The sequence below is a fragment of the Homo sapiens genome, chromosome X (assembly GCF_000001405.40).
Source record: "Homo sapiens chromosome X, GRCh38.p14 Primary Assembly".
In the NCBI taxonomy this organism is placed as follows: Eukaryota; Metazoa; Chordata; class Mammalia; order Primates; family Hominidae; genus Homo; species Homo sapiens.
This window is the reverse complement of record NC_000023.11, coordinates 8,616,846-8,636,356: the sequence shown is the minus strand read 5'-3', so window position 1 is coordinate 8,636,356 and position 19,511 is coordinate 8,616,846. Positions and strand designations below refer to the sequence as shown.

Genomic DNA, 19,511 nt, shown 5'->3' with positions numbered 1-19,511 from the left:
GACAAAGAGCAAAATCCCATTCCTCCTGTGATGTATGCCGCATTTTGTAAGGTCATTAGCACAGGAAGAAAGGACACCAGGCCACCCAACTTGGGAATAAGATTGACATGGTTCTCCAGGACTACCAATCAAATGTTTTCTTAGGAGATGTGTGTTGTCAAGAAAATGTGTAGGAAAAAAATATATATGGAGATAAGGATCAGAGCTAGATGAGCATAAGCTTTTAAACATAGCACCAAGTGAGGGAAATCCTAATCTCCATTCAACTTGTCACAGTTTTTTTTTTAACCTTGCAGCACAGTGATGTCAGAATCATGCTGTGCAGATTCAATTCTGACCTTCACTGGGGAGACGGGCCTGGCTGTTTAAGTTCTTCGAATGCTGTGACTGGTGATTCCAGTTGAGTTACGCAAAATCTGATCTAATGAACACTTGAGATTCTGGACGCACAACATGGATCCCGTTAATTCAGCCTGTAAAACCTGGCTAATGGCTCTGCCAGGATTCTTGAGTTATTTTGATTACCTGGGGGTCAGTATTGGAGAAAGCTGAGCGATGGATTTGATAGTCTGCCGAAGGATATACAGATGTCCTATAATCAGATTATAATTTTAAAAAATTGTGTGTCTGTGTGTGTGTTACACTTTCTGGGTTGGAAATTACATGTACAGATAATAGTTTCTAGCCCTTACTGATTTTTTAGCACTTTGATTAAATATGCATTTTTATTTTCCCAGAGAAAAGGCTGTCTTGTTATGTATATCATTTTATTAAGCTGTCTGTGCGCCAGTAAACTTCCCACTGAGGGTGAGTTTTTTTGTGTCTTTAGGAAAATGTTCATGTGAGGATGTAAGCTTCCTCCTGTGAGGAAAGGACACCTACCCCTCCTTTACTGCTCTGTCTTGGCAAAACACCAACATCAGTTTTCCTTCATTGGACTTTTAATAAACACAGACTGATTCTGCTGATTTTAGAATTCATGTATGAATGTAGCCAGGGAGTGAACATACTACTGAAAACTAATACTTATCTAGGACATGCCATGCAGTAGTTTGCAACTGCAAAAGAAGTAGGTTCTATCCATCTCCTATCTTCGTTGTGAGGAACATCGTGCTTGGATGTTGTAAGAAGGACTTATCTAGTATAAAGGAGGGAGGGACACAGAGGGTCCAAGAGGCAAATTGGACCACAGTGCTGAGTGACCTCGTTTCCTGTGTTTTGTAATTAGAAGTGATGGCAGAGAGGAAGGACAATTGGGATCCTTACAGAGTCACCCTGGAGCTTACCTGGGACTTCCAAGATGACTGAGGCTATGCTGGGTCCTCTACTTTAGGGTTTCTGAGGCTGTGGTTAAACCACCAGTTTATACAGCCTATTGAAACTGACTTTACAGAGCCTAAAAGATTCTAGGTTTTGTCTCTTTCTTCTTGAACAGTTGCTTGGGAAGACATATCATCTATTTGGTATGAGGTTTCAGATCTGAAGCATTTGTCTTTAAATCTGTTTATTCCTATAAGCCCATTGATAGGAACTTAAATTTTTTAATGCTCTCTGCCCATAGATTTATATCCATAATAGCTTTTTAATAATGCCAGCTAGAGAAAACTTGTGATTTGAGATTTTAAATAATTTTAAGATTATTTTATGAATTTATTTTTTATTTTAACTTTAAAAAACACACTTAAGTTATGAGAACACTGCAAAGAACTTCCATATACTTTTCATCTAAATCAGGGTATTGCAAGCTCTCTGTCAAAGATTTATAAATATTCTTTGCTGGCTTGGTCATCTGTTGCAACTACTCAACTCTGCTGCTGTAGTGCAAAAGCAGCCACAGGCAATATGTAAATGAACAGACATGGCTCTGTTCCAATAAAACTTTATTTACAAAAACAAGAGGTGGGCCACATTTGGTCCCTGGTTTCTAGTTGCTTGACCCAATCTAGACTTACCAGTCGTTACCTTTCCTTTTTTTCCTTTTCTTTTTCTTTTTTTTGGCTATATTTGCTTCATCATATTCTCTCTCTCTGCATATACATATATGTATATATACACAAATGTATAACGTATACATATATACTATGTGTATATATACACACACATACACTTATAATCATTTTTTTCCAATCATTTGAAAAGAAGATGCAGGCATCATGATTCTTTACCTCCAAGTAATTAAGCATGCATTTCTTAAGAACAAGTGCATTCTCTTAGTAACTACTAAGAGAATCTACTAAGAGAATGGAATTATCAAATGTAAGTGATAACACTGATATAATACCAACATCATTTGATAAAATTATCAAGTGTAGGTGATTTAACATTGATGTAACGCCAACATCTAATCTACGGTTTATATTTAAACTTCACTGATTGTCCCGATAATGTTCTTTATAGCCTTATTTTGTCTGATTCAGGATCCAATTCTTCATTATGTGTGGCATTTGTTGTCATGTATCTTTAGTCTCCTTTGGTCTGGAACCATTCCTCAGTCTTTCTTTGTCTTTCAGGACATTGATATTTTTGAAGACTAGAGGCTAATTGCTTTGTAGATTGTTTGGTATTTCCTCTTGGTTAGATTCAGGTTCTCTATAATGGGCAGGAATCCTGCCTCTGTGAGATGCTGAGTCCTTGCTAGTGCATCCTTTCAGGAGACACCTGAGTTTCGTTTTGCTTTTTTCCCCCATTCTTGGAGGCAATATCTTTGATCCTTTTGTTAAGGTGCGCTCTGCTAGGTTTCTACACTGGAAAGTTAGCACTTTCTCTTCATAATTAATATCTTTTAAATTTGAGCAGTGACCATGGGAATACTATTTGAAGCTTCAATACTGTACCAAAAATGCCATATTAGAAGATTGCGGTTGAAAAATAGGAATGCAAAGAAGGTATGCTTTGTCTTCCAGGTAAGAGAATTCCATGACTTTGTCTACTTCAAGAAACTTAATTAAGTGGAAAAGAATTACACTGAGAGTATGGTTTTCTGATTGCTTTCCTCTCATTTACTTATGTAGTTTCTAAACACTTCCCCCGAAACTCCAAGGACTCCCTTTGTTGTGAAAAAGTAGTTGTGATAAAATGAGGCCCGTGTTTCCTGATAAGTTTCGCAGTGAGAGAGTCATTGCCCTTCGGACGTTTCAGAGCAAGTTGATTTGTGATGCGAACGTCTCAGGCCTGATGCTGTTGTGGTTGTGCTAGGCTGGCATGCTAATCCTCTGTGATTGAGGCTGCAATGATTGTTCAACTGCACTTCAGAGGGCTGTCTGCCAAAAGATTTCATTATTTTGGCAAGACACAGTGCACTTTTCGACACACAGGATTGTAACAATTTCTATACAGTACCAATTTAGAGCTGGAGGGAGGCCATGAATACTTCTAAAGGCAGTAGGGTGCACATATTTTAGGAAATATATTTGGGAGAAAAAAACAGCTTTCATCTAAAAAGCAGGTCCACAGCTTTTTAGAGAAACTTGCTGCCATTAATTCAGAAAACAGAAATGGTCTTTGCAAACTTTTGTAGATAGCATTGTTATATGATATGAATGTATACCCATATAAAATAAAAAGTTGGAGGTTTTTTTTTTTTAAGAACCCCAAGGCTTATTCTTTATATCCAGGCAATACTCCAGACAAAATTAAGTATAAGGCATTATTTGATTTTTTAATTATTCAACAGAAAATACTTTTGTGAAAGAAAAGGTACTGGGCTATGGTCTCAGGATATCCCTTCTCATTCCATGTTCTGGCCACACACAGAATATTACCACACCATTCAATCTTAGCTTTTGGAAATGTGGGCAAGAAATGTGGCACTTTAAAAACAATTATTAGAACATGCTTGAGAGACTGGAATTAAGAGAAATTTGAATTTCTTTTCCAATTAAAAGGGAAAATGTAGGTAGGCATTAGGGAAATATGAAAGAACTATAAAATAAAGTCTCCTTATTGGTCCCCTAGAAATGGAAGAGAACTAGATTCACTAAGTACCTACTATGTGTAGACACCTTAAAAGGTGGTCTTTATAAATTTCATTTGAAAAAAGTCCACCTGAGCAAATATTTTTTCACTGTTTTATGTATCAGAAACGTATAGTTGAGAGAGGTTAAAATAAAACTTGAATGGGAAAAAATCATTTAGCTTGAGGTAGATGAGGGATTCTCCTCTGGGTCAGTCCAAATCTAAAACTCAGTGCTCTTTTGGTTGCCTTCAGACTTGGCTAGAATCATGAGTTTCAGAGTCCCTCACCTGGGAAGTGGCCTGACTTATCTATCCATTCAAGACTACTAAAGCCCAGCCACCAGAATTGCATCCACGAAGGCACACACATCTAAACATCAGTGCCTTCCCACCATATTGGAAACCTGTGGCTTATTCACACAGGTTATCAACATGCCACATGATCATTGTCACATTTCCCTACATCCAAATGCTTACATCCTCTAAGCTGGAGTGAAACTGTACGTTCATGTCCAGTCCTAGGCAGAGCCATGGATCTAAACCCTACCACTTGGCCGTTGCCTCTGTGAAAATGTTTCAGTTTTCAAATCTGGAAGCTGTATAGGGTTGGGTTCAATGATAGGAGTGATACGTTGCCTCTCTAAAATTCATTGTTTTCATATTGTAACCCCTACAACAGTCTCTGGGACCTTGATCAATTGATAATTTCCTACTTCTTCTACATCTTCAATCATCCTGATCTTCAGTCAGACTTCCTCCGTTTGATCCTTTGTTTTCTGCCTATTAACGTGTTCCAGTCACCTCATTTTGAAGCACAAACACGTAAAGAGAGAACAAAACAGATTAAAGAAAAAAAAACTTTACTAAACCATGAAATCTCATACAGGTTGCCATTCTAGTTTTCGCATAGCCCAACTCCTAAAATTTTTGACACTCCAATTTAATTTTGTCTGTACCTCTTTATCTGTATCTTTGACGTTTGCTTGTAAATGTACATGCTATGATCTTTGTAGAGACTTAAGGTCCTTGAAGGCAGTCCCTTGTGTAGTTCATAGATTTAGCCATAGGCCCATCACTTAGCATGATACTGTGGTTATAGTTAGAACTCAGGAAATGGTTGTAAAAGGAATAAATTAATGATGAGAGAGAAAGACAAAAGAAACTTATAAATGCCATCATTAGCTTTAACCTTTATCCTAAACTGCATATCCACAATTTCAATAGCTTGTTGGACAACACTCCTTGTACGTACCCTGGACACCTCTAACTCGCTGTGTTAAGCACTCAGTTCCGTATCTTTCCCCATGCTTGTTTCTCCTTCTTCCTTCGTCTTGGTGACACCATCAGTTCCCTTGAGATCTAGATTGGAAACTTTGGTGCCTTTCCCCATTTGATTTCTCTCATCCCCACTTCTCAAAACAAATTGGTAACCATGTTGATGAGATTGCACTTCCATATTCCCTTTCATAGGTTAACATCCTTTTCCTCCTTTCACCCAATGTCCTCTGACACCCTGGTGGCATACTGACACTAGAAATGGCAGACAGAAGATTGGAAGACGTTGTAAAGACTTTTGCTCTGGTTTACTTTACTGCAATGTCTCACCTCTCTAATCCATCTTCTGTTCCAACACCCAAGTCTTCATAAACACAAGTTGGAACAAACAATTAGTTCTGAGTGTGTCAGTGGCTCCTCATTGAATCCAAGGGCTATCCTTCCAGCCTTGTTTTCTGCTATGTGTTTTCTCCTACTAGCAATCAGACACCATACTCCCCACTCCATACATTCAATATTATCCTTATCCCAAATTTACTTACAGCTGGTCAAGTTCTAGTCACAGTCACCCTTCTAAGCTGATTTATGGGTCCCTAGTTCTGTGAAGTTCTTTTCAATGATCCTCTATGAAAATACATATCCTTTTTTTCATTTCTTATGACTTTTTTTTGGTTTTGTTTGTTTATTTATTTATTTATGAGATGGAGGCTTACTCTGTCACCCAGGCTGTAGTGCAGTGGCACAATTTCAGCTCACGCAACTTCCAGCTCCCAGGTTCAAGCAATTCTCCCACCTCAGCCTCCCAAGTAGCTGGGATTACAGGCGCTTGCCACCACACCTGCCTAATTTTTGTATTTTTTGGTAGAGACAGGGTTTCATCATGTTGGTCAGGCTGGTCTCGAGCTCTTGACCTCAAGTGATCTGCCCACCTCACCCTCCCAAAGTGTTGGGATTACAGGCATGAGCCACCACGCCTGGCCGGCATGTCGTTCTTAACTCGTTTATTTTATGATTCACTGATGCGGACTTATTTATCTACATACTTTTCTCCCATAAGAGATTCCATGCTCCCTCAGGGCAGAATGAATCATGCCACATTTCCCCCTGTCTTGGTGACTAGATAAGTACTTTGCACATTAGAAATATTAATCCATATTGTTGATTTAGCTAATTTGTTGCTAATTCGAACAGATTGAAATCTATGGACCTGCTGCTTCTTTGTTTTAGCATGGGTTCTATTCATTTAGCATAATCTGATCACGAGTTCCACTTGTTGATTATTGGATAATGTAAAATTTTGAATTTCGTGTGAACCTTTTTTGCTTTAGAATTTATTGTGATGGCTGTTTTGGTAAGAACATTTCTTCTGCTGTCCTTTTATGAAAGTGTTTGGTTAAATGTAAAGTATGGAATTTGGTGCCAAACTGGCCAGGTGGTGATTCACAAAGTAGTATCCACAATTTCCTTGTTGATCAGTACTTCCACTCATGAGTTGGAGGTCTCTCTCTGTGACATGAAATAGTCTTATTGGTTGTGCTTATATGAAGGTCTTGGAATGCGTAACACCTAGGGCATTCTGGAACTGAATCCCAGAGAGATCTGGGAGCACCATAGTTTACTAATCCCATGGATTTGCAAAGTACTTTTCAGTGTACAGATATCTTTTATATACATTGTCTCATGAATCCCCTGTAGCAAGTGGCATAAAGTGCTTTATCATGGAAAATACCCTTTATTTGAGTGTGCTAAAGCATGGGTTCAATCCCAATTGCCCCAATCTCTCCCAGAGTCACTAGCTTTGTTTCCTTAACCTCTCTTAACTTCAGTGTTTCCTCTCTAAAATGTAAGAATAATTGTGCCCTTTTTAAAATTTTTTTTTCTTTTTTGAGACAGAGTCTTACTCTGTTACCCAGGCTGCAGAGTGCAGTGGTGCATTCTGCAGTCTCAAACTTCCGGGCTTAAGTGATCCTCCCACCTCAACCTCCTGAATAGCTGGGACTACAGGTGCACACTACTATGCCCAGCTAGTTTTTTAATTTTTAGTGGAGACAAAGTCTCACTATGTTGCTCAGTCTATTCTTGAACTTCTGGGCTCAAGAGATCATCTCATCTCAGCCTCCCAAAGTGCTGGGGTTACAGACATGAGCCACCATTCCCAGCCAATAGTGCATAATTTTACATACTTCTATAGATGTGTTGTGATGAGGCTCCACTAGACAAATAGTTTTAAAAGTGGTCTGTAATCTGTAAAGTTTCTATGTTAAGTAGAAACATACTTAGTATCTACCTGCCAAACGATGACATATGCGATTAGCTCTCTCAATCTACATATTTTTCTTTGAAATTTAAAGTGTTTCTTCATTGGAATTGAAGCAGTAGCCTCGGAAGAAATGATTTTAGTCTATCATCCTAAAACTTGAAAGCCTAAAACCTTTGCTAAAAATATAAACTTTGGTTACTGTTTTGGATAGTTTTAGGCAGTACATGATCATGGCGCCTATAGGAGTTTATGTAATACATTCTAAAGCAATTGTCTCCTGGTAGTAGTATTTCTCTCATAATCACTCCTCTCGTGGAAGAGAGATGTGGGGTTGTCACAAGGTAAACCCCAAAATTGGAGTTCAGTCTGGGAGGCCACATGGGTTCTTGGCTTCATGCAGGAAGGAATTCAAGAGCAAGGCTACAGAGTAAAGTGAAAGCAAGTTTATTAAGAAAGTAAAGGAATAAAAGGGTGGCTGTGCCATAGGCAGAGCAATGGCATGGGCTGCTTGATTGAGTAAACTTATCATTATTTCTAGATTATATGCTAAATAAGGGGTAGATTATTTATGAGTTTTCTGGGAAAAGGGTGGGGAGTTCTGGAACTGAGGTTTCCTCCCCCTTTTAGACCATATAGGGTAGCTTCTGGACATTGCCATGGCACTTGTAAACTGTCATGGCACTGGTGGGAGTGTCTTTTAGCATGCTAATGCCTTATAATTAGTGCATAATGAGCACATGGACAACCAGAGGTTGCTTTCATTTGCCATCTTGGTTTTGGTGGGTTTTGACTGACTTCTTTACTGCATCCTGTTTCATCACTGGGGTCTTTGTGACCTGTATCTTGTGCAACTAGTCCTGCCAACCTCTTATCTCATCCTGTGACTAAGAATGCCTAACCTCCTGATAATGCAGCCTAGCAGTTCTTGGCCTCATTTTACCCAGCCCCTGTTCAAGATAGAGTCCTTTGGGTTCTAACACCTCTGGCAGGGCTGCAGTCTTTTGACATACCTTTTTTTTTTTTTAAATTGCTTGCAGAAATAGGAAGTTTTTTGTTCTACATGAAGTATGAGAGAAAGTGTGTCATTGTCGTTTTCTCCCGCAACACTTTAGCTTTTGTTGAAATCTTTTTTTTTTTAACTGGCCAGAGTATTATAAAGAAATAGACTTTTGGCAAACTTATCCTGCAAACATTTACTCAGATGATTGTATATAGGTTGTGCTTGTCAGAGAGATTTCATGGAGGATTATTAAAAGAAAATGTTGGCTGTCATTAATAACATTTTGAAAAATGTCTTTAGATACTGCTGATTACTAGTTACTGGATCTGAAGCAGGAATGCAATTAAAATAGAGCTTTAAATGAATGACATATACTGATGCTAGACTTGGCAGAGCTTCTGGATTAATAGCAAAACAAGTGTGTTGTGTATTGCTTTGATTAGCATTCCAGAAATATGCCTGTTTTTGTAAATAGTATTTGTTTTGTATAAGGTATTTGACAATTCCACAAGCTCTCAGGACCATGGTTATGTGGGATTATGGAGATTTCAAAGGCTTGAGACTTTTTGTGCACCGATATCTATAGTTGTGAAAATGCAACTGTGTACACATGTAGCAGCATATTTTTATAATTTATATTTTTAGCAATAAGAGAAAACAAAAATCACATGCTTATTTTCAGACGTTGTTAGCCACATAGCATTTAACAGTGTCTTTATGGAATAAATGTTTGTTGGGTGTTTCTTGAGTGAAATGATAAAGACTTACCTTGCAGTGGCAAGAGTGTCATGTATTCATTTCAAATGGTCTTGAGGAAGAATTAGGTCTTAGCATACTTTTAAATAACTACTAAACATTTTTGCCTTGAAGCAAATGTCTAGAAAAAATAAGTAACAAGAGCTTTGAGGACAAAGCATTGATGTAGCCATAGGAAACAAAAAACTAGTTCTTTAAGGAAATCATAAGTAAGTTGGATAAGTTTTTTTCTTTTCTTTTTTTTTTTTTTTGAGACGGAGTATCACTCTGTCGCCCAGGCTGGAGTGCAGTGGTGTGATCTCGGCTCACTGCAAGCTCCGCCTCTCGGGTTCACGCCATTCTCCTGCCTCAGCCTCCCGAGAAGCTAGGACTACAGGCGCCCGCCACCACGCCTGGATAATTTTTTTTGTATTTTTAGTAGAGACAGGGTTTCACTGTGTTAGCCAGAATGGTCTCGATCTCCTGACCTTGTGATCCGCCTGCCTCGGCCTTCCAAAGTGCTGGGATTACAGGCGTGAGCCACCGCGCCCGGCCTTTAGATAAGTTTTTAAACAATGTTTCATTACTATTAAAATTGTTTTTCTTTTAGAATTGCTATATTGATGAAAAATTTGTTTTTGAACATTCTTGAGAGAAGTAAGCACTGTAACTTGGGGCAGGCTCATATATGTCTTAGAAAAGAATTATTAAAGAGCTCAAGTTTTTTTAAAAAAATGAAAATAATTTAAAATGTTCATATGCAACATTACTATGACATCTAAAAATTTTTTTATGAGAAATATATGTTCTTAATGGCACTTATATGAAGCAAGAAAGAGACATTACTCCAAAGAGTAATGGTCTAGGGATTGTTCACGGGCAGAGATTCAGCTACTTGCAAGGTAAGTCTTTGTCATTTCACTCAAGAAACATCCAACAAGCATTTATTCCATAAAGACACTGTTAAATGCAAACATCAAATTTGGTGGCAGTTCTTTTTTTTTTTTTTTTTTTTTTTTTTGAGACAGAGTCTTGCTCTGTCATCCAGGCTGGAGTGCAGTGGCATGATCTCAGCTCACTGCAACCTCTGCCTCCTGAGTTCAAGCAATTTTCCTGCCTTGGCTTCCCAAGTAGCTGGGACTACAGGCGCCCACCACCACACCCAGCTAATTTTTTGTATTTTTAGTAGAGACAGGTTTTCACCATGTTAGCCAGGATGGTCTCGATCTCCTGACCTCATGATCTGCCCGCCTCGGCCTCCCAAAGTGCTGGGACTACAGGTGTGAGCCACCGTGCCCGGCCAATGGCAGTTCTTTTTAAAGTTTACTAAGCATCAGAATTTTCAGTAGAACTTGTTAAAATAGATTCCTGGACCCTGGTCCCAGAGATTCAGACTGTAGGTTGAGAATGAGGCCCATGAATTTTCATTTCACACAAACTCCAAAGGATGCCCATAATATCAGTAATTGATCACACTTTGAGCATTATTGTTATAAAGAATTGACAGTTGGCACAGGGGCAGTTGATTTCATACATATAATTGATAAAAAGATGGCAACAAATATTGAAAATTAAGTTTCTTCAGAGTTTTCCAGTGTATCTTCTAACTGTATCTGTATTTTAAAACATGGAAGAGATTACTAGAAAACAGAGTGCAAAAGTAGTATTGCTTCACCATATATCCGGAATTCTACATTATACATATCTGAAATTTAACTGAGAATTTCTACTGTCATTTGAAAACTCATCAATAATGAAATAGAAATAATATAGATAAAATAACCATGAATGTATGAGAGCTAGGGCTATGCTTATATTTAGATGACTGACATCTGACTATATGACTATTAATGTTTAAAATTACAACTTGCATTAAATATAATTTTGAGGATCAAGTTTCCATGCATATGAATGTAACATTTTTTTTTTCAACCATGAGGCCTGGCTACTAACAATCAGGCACACACAGACATCCCGTATGTACACACTATATATGCTTTATTTTTATTTTTATTTTTATTTTTGAGACAGAGTTTTGCTCTGTCACCCAGGCTGGAGTGCAGTGGCCCGATCTCGGCTCACTGCAACCTCTACCTCCTGGGTTCAAGTGATTCTCCTGCCTCAGTCTTCCGAGTAGCTGGAACTACAGGTGGGCGCCACAATGCCAGGCTAATTTTTGTATTTTTTGGTAGAGACGGGGTTTCACTTTGTCGGCCAGGCTGGTCTCAAACTCTTGGCCTCAAGTGATTTGCACACCTCAGCCTCCCAAAGTGCTGGCATTACAGGCTTGAGCCACCACACCTGGCCTCAGAGTATATATATTTTATATATCATGTGTGTATATATAATATATATAGTGTATATTAGTAATAAACTATATTATATGTGCATATAATTTGTTTATCCAACAATCTTACTATTTATTATTACAAACGTTCTTGAACAATGGAGTCTGGCTAGTGTCTTTGATTTATTAGAATGTATATAGTAATAAGTTATATGCATGTATGTTTAAGCAAACCTTATTTTCTGTTATGAGACTCTCATGTCATAATCTAACAGATTTATTCAATGTATTTTAATGGAGTGATTAAACTCGATGTATCTGAGTGCTGTTGGATTCATTGAGATAAGGACACAAGTTAACAATAATACATATGTGTACATACATACAGACATAAATTTAATACAATGCATTTTCACTTGTAGAAGAGTGTACAAAAAATAGCCCTATGCTGCCAATTTAAAAGAAATGTAATATTAACTTTTATGAGGAAAAAAATCCCATGAAACAACAACCTTTAGAAAGTATTTCTTGGCTGGGCGCAGTGGCTCACGCCTGTAATCCCAACAGTTTGGGAGGCTGAGACGGGTGGATCACCTGAGGTCATGAGTTCGAGACCAGCCTGGCCAACATGGTGAAACCCCATCTCTACTAAAAATACAAAAATTAGCCCGGTGTGGTGGCAGGCGCCTGTAATCCCAGCTACTCGGGAGGCTGAGGTAGAAGAATCACTTGAACCTGGGAGGTGGAGGTTGCAGTGAGCCGAGATCGCCCCATCACACTCCAGCCTAGGGACAAGAATGAGACTTTGTCTCAAAAAAAAAAAAAAAAAAAAAAGAAAAGAAAAGAAAATATTTCTTACTGAATAGAAAATATGTCTTACCCCAATTCCTCCAGCTGATGGTGACGATCATTACTTTTCCTGTAAGTCACTGCCGGGCGCTGTAACTTTTCCTTTCCAATTGTGTTGAAATACATTTTTTGGTCCGCGTTCTGTAATGATGCTTTTGCTCAGATTCGTGTTATACCCAGTTAAAAAGAGCAGCTGATTCTTTGGTTTTCTAAACTAACTAGAATAAACAGGCATTGAAAAAGCAACAATCACAGGTGAATTCTTTTTTCCTCTCAGCTTTGTTTGTTTCCATGTTTTATTTATTTTTATTGTTCCTCTCTTCCAGTGCCTGGAGCCCTGCAAGGAATCAGGGGACCTGAGGAAACACCAGTGCCAAAGCTTTTGTGAGGTAGGAGAACGTCAGTGGTACTTAAAACACTTGACCCAAATCTGACTATGCTTACGTGGGGTCATGGGAATGAATGGGCCTTCTTATTCTTCTGCAGCTTGGGGAGATCATTAACTGCAGGTGTGTGTGGATATACGTAAATTCATGTAAAAAATATAGAGCCTTCTTAAAACCTGGCTACCCACTGCTTGCATTATTGGCTAACCAGACCAAAAAAAAAAATATGATGTGTAGATGGAAGACTACAGGCTTTCTAAAGGTATAGATTGTCACCACCCTCCCACCTTACATCATAGCTATTCTGAGTAGTTTTTACATGCTTTTGAAGTATTCATGCCATTTGGGAGAAGAGACTCATATTATTGCTAATGGTGTTTCTCAAATATTTTCATCTCTTTGTTCCCCTCGGGGTTCCTCCTCATATCCTGGGCAGAATGCTTGCCCGCTTTTAACTGTACAGGAGGCATCTTACTTCAGCTAACTATTAGTTAGATTAGTATCTATCTGTTCATCTATCCAGCCAGCCAGCCAGCAAGCCATCCATCCATCCATCCATCCATCCATCCATCCATCCATCATCCATCCATCCATCCAGCTATCCATCCATCCGGCTATCCATCTATCTATTATCTATCTATATCTATTTGTCTATCTATCCATCCATTCATCCATCCAGCCATCCACCCTTGTATCTACCCATTCATCTCTCTATCATCCTTATTGGGAGAATGTGTAATATTGTCCTAGAGGACCACTGTCTAAAATCACCAATAGTGCAAAAAAGGAGATCTGCTTTACTGGACTGTCTTCCCTATGGAATACAGGGGGCACAGGCCCTGTACCAGCCTGGATTCTGCTGAGAAGTAACCAGACACAAGGCCAAGCAGACTGCCTGGTTCCAAGGATTCCAAGGACAGTGGACTTGAGAAGTAGGAGAATCTGAAGGTTTGGGGAGAATAGTAGAGAATGAGTCAAAAGAGTCCATTTTGGCAGTCAGGAGAGCTCAGTTGAGGGTCTTGGCCAGAAGAGGTGCCCCCGACATCAGAATGAAATGATGTTATGGATTATCTTTGAACAGAACTGGGGGGTGAAAGGGAACTCTTCCAAGGATCCAGAGACATTGGTCTGGTCTTCATCCACTATAGCAAATAAATGCTAGTGTAATCCCATTGCCTATGTTTCACTCTGGATCTTATTCTGAGAAAATGAATGCAGAATTAGGACAATAATGGCTTCATCAATATGTATTGTGTGTAAAATATCTTCATAATCTTACTTGACCTTTCCCATACTCCTGTAGTTAAGCAAGGCAGATAGTAAGTCCCCAAGAGTTACGTGTGGAAGCCAGGAAGGACTGGGAAGTTGAGGCTCCTCAGACGAATGGCTTGTCAACGGTCAACCCTCCAGGTAGAAAGACTGGGTCTAAAACTCCTTGATTTTGATCCCTCTTTTGATCCCTCACTGATTATCTGAGTGTTGTTCCTGGTCAACTCCGCTTGGCCAATCACCAGGGGTCATAGTGGGTTTGGGCCCCTTGAGATGTAGAAAAAACATAGCAGAAATAAACAAAACTGGTGATTTGCTGCAAGGATAAGGAGAGTGAGGCCATCCCATGTCTTTGTTTGTGTTCTGCTTTTACCTTTTCTGTGTTCCTACTTTAACTATTTTAAAAATATCTATTCATTCATTTATTCAACATGAACTTTTTGAATACCTATAATGTGCCCTGCAGTTTGGTAGAGATGTGGCAGTAAAAAAATCACGCAAAAATTCCAGCTTTTGTGGGGCTTATTTTCTCCTGGATGAAAGATCTCAGCTGTGAATGATGGTAACTTGATTCTAATCCTAACTGCAAAACCAACTTACTCTATGAATTCAGTTAAATCAATTAACCTGTGTCTTCAACCTCATTTTTCAAATGAGGGATTTATCCTATTGATCTTACACGGTGTTTATTAAAATAGATAATGAATGTAAGTGCATGGTACAGAGCTTATCAAGCTGTACAAAAGTAACACAATGATATTTACTTTGTATTATGTGTTATAGGCTTGTGGGTCACAGCTCTGTGAGGTATCTGAATCAACTATTTATTCTGAATTTTTACCCGCATTGGTAATCCTTGTCAACACAATTAGAGCACACTGTCTAGTGGAGTGACTGTTGTGCTCTTAACTTTAATTTTCTACCCTATTCCATACACAAACTATACATCTATAGGCACAAAAATAAATATTTATAGAATCTTTTTTTTTTTTCGGTTTCCCATGCTGGAGTGCAGTGGCGTGATCTCGGCTCACTGCACCCTCCACCTCCTGGGTTCAAGTGATTCTCGTGCCTCAGCCTCCCAGATAGGTGGAATTACAGGCGTGCACCACCATGCTCAGTTGATTTTTACATTTTTAGTAGAGACAGGAGTTTTGCGTGTTAGCCAGGCAGCTCTCAAACTCTTGGCCTCAAGTGATCCGCCTGCCTTGGCCTCCCAAATTGCTGGTATTATAGGCATGAGCCACTGCTCCTGACCTGTTTATAGAATCTTGAGGAACAAGGTGTTTGTTTTATAAATTTATTATCCCTAAATATCAGTGACTCTGGGCTGATATTTTTACATCTGATCGCTGAGAAGGAAGATATAATTGAAGGTCATTTGAAACCTTTCTTCCTGTAAATTTCAAATTCAAGAGCAGGTTTCTGTAATTGCCATTCTCTGAGGTAACTGTGAGGTGTTCTGAACCAAATCCAGTTTATTAAAATGGGACTCAGGTGTTTGAATGTGATCCCTTCTGGCATGAAAGGTTAATTGAAACTTGAAAGGTGGGGAAAACAGATGCCATTTAATGTGAGGAGCTTTGATGAATTGCTTCAGCCCAACGGTTAAATAACTCAAGACTTGATGTTCCATTTTAGTGGCTTTGATTGTTTTTAGGTCCCTGTGTGTTTTTTGCATCTGTTTTATTTTGCAGTAAGTATCTGACTATTGTGTTGAAGTAGGCTGAACCTTGAAAACACTGATGGCTGTTTCAGCATTTTTAAGCCTAGTCACTTATGGAGACAGGCCTAAAACAATCCCGTTCATCCTCCCCATTCTCACATTATTTGTTAAGAATGCACAGAATTCCATATTGTCATGACTCTAAGCTTTCCCTTTGTAAAAGTTCAGACCCAGAAGGGACTCTAGATTACATTATTCTTCAACGGAAACAATTACACTGTTAGACATGTTCGGCCCGGTATGTTTACCTGCAGGGCAGTCTGAGCTTATTTGTCTTCTAAGGCATAGGTTTGCAAACCATGACTCGCAAGGCAAACTGGTCTGCCTCTTGTTTTATAAATAAAACTTTATTGAAACACAGCCACACTGGTTTGTTTACATATTGTCCATGGCTGCTTTTGTGCTACAACAACAGAATTGAGTACTTGTAACATTATATGGCCCTTATAGCTGAAAATATCTAATATCTGGCCCTTTATAGAAAAAGTTTTTTAATTCCTGCTCCAAGAAAAAGAACAGGCTGGGCACAGTGGCTAATGCCTGTAATATCAGCACTTTGGGAAGCTGAGGCAGGAGGATTGCTTGAGGCCAGGAGTTCAAGGTTGCAATGAGCTATGATCATGCCATTGCAGTCCAGACTGGGCAAAAGAGTAAGAGCCTGTGTCAAAACAAAAAACAATAAAACAAAGAACAGTCATAATTATATTACAAAACTCATCTTACCATTTAGAGTACTGTTACTTCTTAATCTGTATTATCAGCACCCATTTCTAAACATAAAACATTGTTCTTGGTAATTTTAATCACAAATAAGTTTTCCTACATGGAGGAGACTTTTGGAGGCATGTTAATAACAACATACCTAGAATTGGTTCATTTCATTCTCATATCGTGATCTCTCTCACTTCTCATTTGATTACCGATTTTGTTATAATTTGCACGGTAACTTTTGCTACTTTTAGGCTAATGTCAGAGGTAATAATGTCTTCTTCTTTTTCTTTTTTTTCTTTTTTGAGACGGAGTCTTGCTCTGTTGCCAGGCTGGAGTGCAGTGGCGCAATCTCAGCTTACTGCAACCTCTGCCTCCCAGGTTCCAGCAATTCTCCTGCCTCAGCCTCCTGAGTAGCTGGGACTACAAGCATGCATCACCACGCCCGGCTAATTTTTGTATTTTTAGTAGAGACGGGGTTTCACCATGTTGGCCAGGATGGTCTCCATCTCCTGACCTTGTGATCCGCCCGCCTTGGCCTCCCAAAGTGCTGGGATTACAGGCGTGAGCCACCTTGCCCGGCCAATAAATGTCATTTTTTAAATGAAGAAGTTAAATGTTTGTATCAAAACAGGAAAAAAATTGAGATATTTCAGCAGTCCTCTGGATTATATGAGATTTTATTTTCATGTATCAAGTTTTTGGAACATGGCACGTAATCATAGATACATAGATAGGCAAATAGATTCTGTTTTGTAGGTTCAGTTTATTAACTAACCATTATCACTGTTCTTTTCTTTTCTTTCTTTTTTTTTTTTTTTTTTTTTTTTTTTTTTTGAGAGAGGTTTGCTCTGTCGCCCAGGCTGGAGTGCAGTGTCATGATCTCGGCTCACTGCAACCTCTGCCTCCCGGGTTTGAGCGATTCTCCTGCCTCAGCCTCTTGAGTAGCTGGGATTACAGACATGCATCACCACTCCCAGCTTATTTTTTGTATTTTTAGTAGAGATGGGGTTTCCCCCTCTTGTCCAGGCTGGTCTCGAACTCCTGACCTCAGGTGATCCGCCCACCTCAGCCTTCCAAAATGCTGGGATTACAGGCGTGAGCCACCGTACCCGGCCTGTTCTCTTATTTTCAAAAATCTTAAAAACCATGACAAACTTTTTTTAACCAAATACAAAATATACATTTTCCTAGGTTGAAACATTCCTTTCTCACAATCAATGGAATCTTAAATTTTAAATGGCATTATTTATTTCTCATTCTTAATGATCTTAGTTTTGGTGAAACTTGATATATCATTGTTTATGACTTGCCTCCTTGCTGAATGAAACAGCTCCCATCTTTGATTTTGACGTTTCTGATGCATGGCATCTCAACCCTAAGTAAGAACTCAGTGGATGTCAGCATTGGATAAAACAGCTGGTAAAACAGCTGCCATCTTTGACTTTGACGTTTCTGATTCATGAAATCTCAACACTAAGTAAGAACTCAGTGGATGTCAACATTGGAAGTATGCAGTACCTGTTAACGTCATAGAAAGCTGAAACCTTATTGGCTTCAGGGATCAATCAAGGGTAAAAATACAAGTTGTTTGGGATGAATATGCATCCTGAGATAAGTAGTCTTTCTCAGCCTGGAAATGGGAAGGAAAAGGAGGTTTTCACTTTACTACATATATAATTATCAAGTAATTTCTTTGCGATTTTGCATTTTGAAATGTCTTTCAGGCTTATAGATTTGATTCCCATAACAGTCCTTAGAAGAAGTTAGATGTGAATTTCATTAGGTAAGCTTGATGGACAAGGAAACTCATACACAAGGAGAAGAGATTTATTTGTCCAAGATCACATGGTTGGTTAGTGGAGTATAAGATCTAAAATCCAGGTGGTGTAGCTTCTAGTTACATTTCTTTCCTGCTGTATTGTAGGGTTTCCCTTCTAAACCTATTCTGTGTCACAGCACACAGAGCAGAGGAGGAGGTTTTACTTCCCTCATCAGGGAATAAAAGATGAGCCTGTGTCGAATGTAAGGTTCTTGGCCCAGTCATCCCTGCTTGGACAGGCTTATCCTTAAATGAGAAGGAAGTTTTAGTGGTTTAAAATCATAGTTAATTTTTTTTTTCTTTTTGAGACAGAGTCTGACTCTGTCACCTAGGCTGGAGTGCAGTGGCTCGGTCTCAGCTCACTGCAACGTCTGTCTCCCAGGTTTAAGCGATTCTCCTGACTCAGCCTCCCAAGTAGCTGGGATTACAGGCACCTGCCACCATGCCCAGCTAATTTTTGTATTTTTAGTAGAGACGGGGTTTCACCATGTTGGCCAGGCTGGTCTTGAACTGCTAACTTCAGGTGATCCACCCATCTCGACCTCCCAAAGTGCTGGGATTACAGGCGTGAGCCACTGCGCCTGGCCAAATCATAGTTAATTAATGGCACCTCAAGGAGAGAAGGAAGACAGGGCTCCTTGCCCCTTCACGTGGCTCTGAAAGAAATATTCCAACACTACTGAAAAGAGACCTCAGAAAGTAAAAGGGTTAACATGCCTCTCCTGTGGGGATTTCTTGCACTCAAAACTTTTTATCTCTTCGCTGCTCTATAACTGGTTTTATGTCTTAAAATTTAAAGTGATAATTAAATGCATACCTGTAGGGATTGGAACAGAACCTGTACCTGTCTGGATATGTCTGTAAAATAGTTAAAGGTCTTGAAAGAAGCTGATGAGAGCTAAACGTGAAAGTGATATAATATTCCCCAAATGTGTGTTGGCTGGAAAAGGAGAAGCACATAGAATTTGTACCATTTAGCAATGTTTTGCTTTAACATATCAGAACAATAGCTTCCCCAATTAGAATATACTTGTGAAAGGGAAATAAAGATTAACTTTGTTGCTATTCTTTTTAAACAGATATATGTCCAAACTGAAAGACAGACTCAATTTTTATTACAAAGATTTTCCACTTGGAAATATTTTCCTAAGAGCATTAAAATATGGCTCCTGAGTACTTCCTTTTAAGGAAGTTGTCAATTCTTTAGAGACACTAGAATGGGACCTGCAGTAGTGTGTCT

General features: G+C 39.0%; 1 protein-coding gene across 2 annotated transcripts in view, besides 1 other annotated feature; it reads left to right on the top strand.

Annotated features, from left to right (window-relative positions):
• Positions 1-19,511, top strand: part of ANOS1 (anosmin 1) — a 203,264-nt gene that overhangs the window by 95,781 nt on the left and 87,972 nt on the right. For both annotated transcript variants that reach the window (NM_000216.4, NM_001440775.1), the window contains exon 3: positions 12,687-12,749. In NM_000216.4, coding sequence (NP_000207.2) covers positions 12,687-12,749 — 63 coding nt within the window. The remainder of the gene's footprint in view (positions 1-12,686; positions 12,750-19,511) is intronic.
• Positions 2,894-3,402: an enhancer, noted in NCBI's record as "NANOG hESC enhancer chrX:8600996-8601504 (GRCh37/hg19 assembly coordinates)". NCBI's record gives its function as "activates a minimal SCP1, AML or CMV promoter by ChIP-STARR-seq in naive H9 embryonic stem cells {active_cell/tissue: H9 hESC(naive)}" and the evidence as "EXISTENCE:reporter gene assay evidence [ECO:0000049][PMID:30033119]".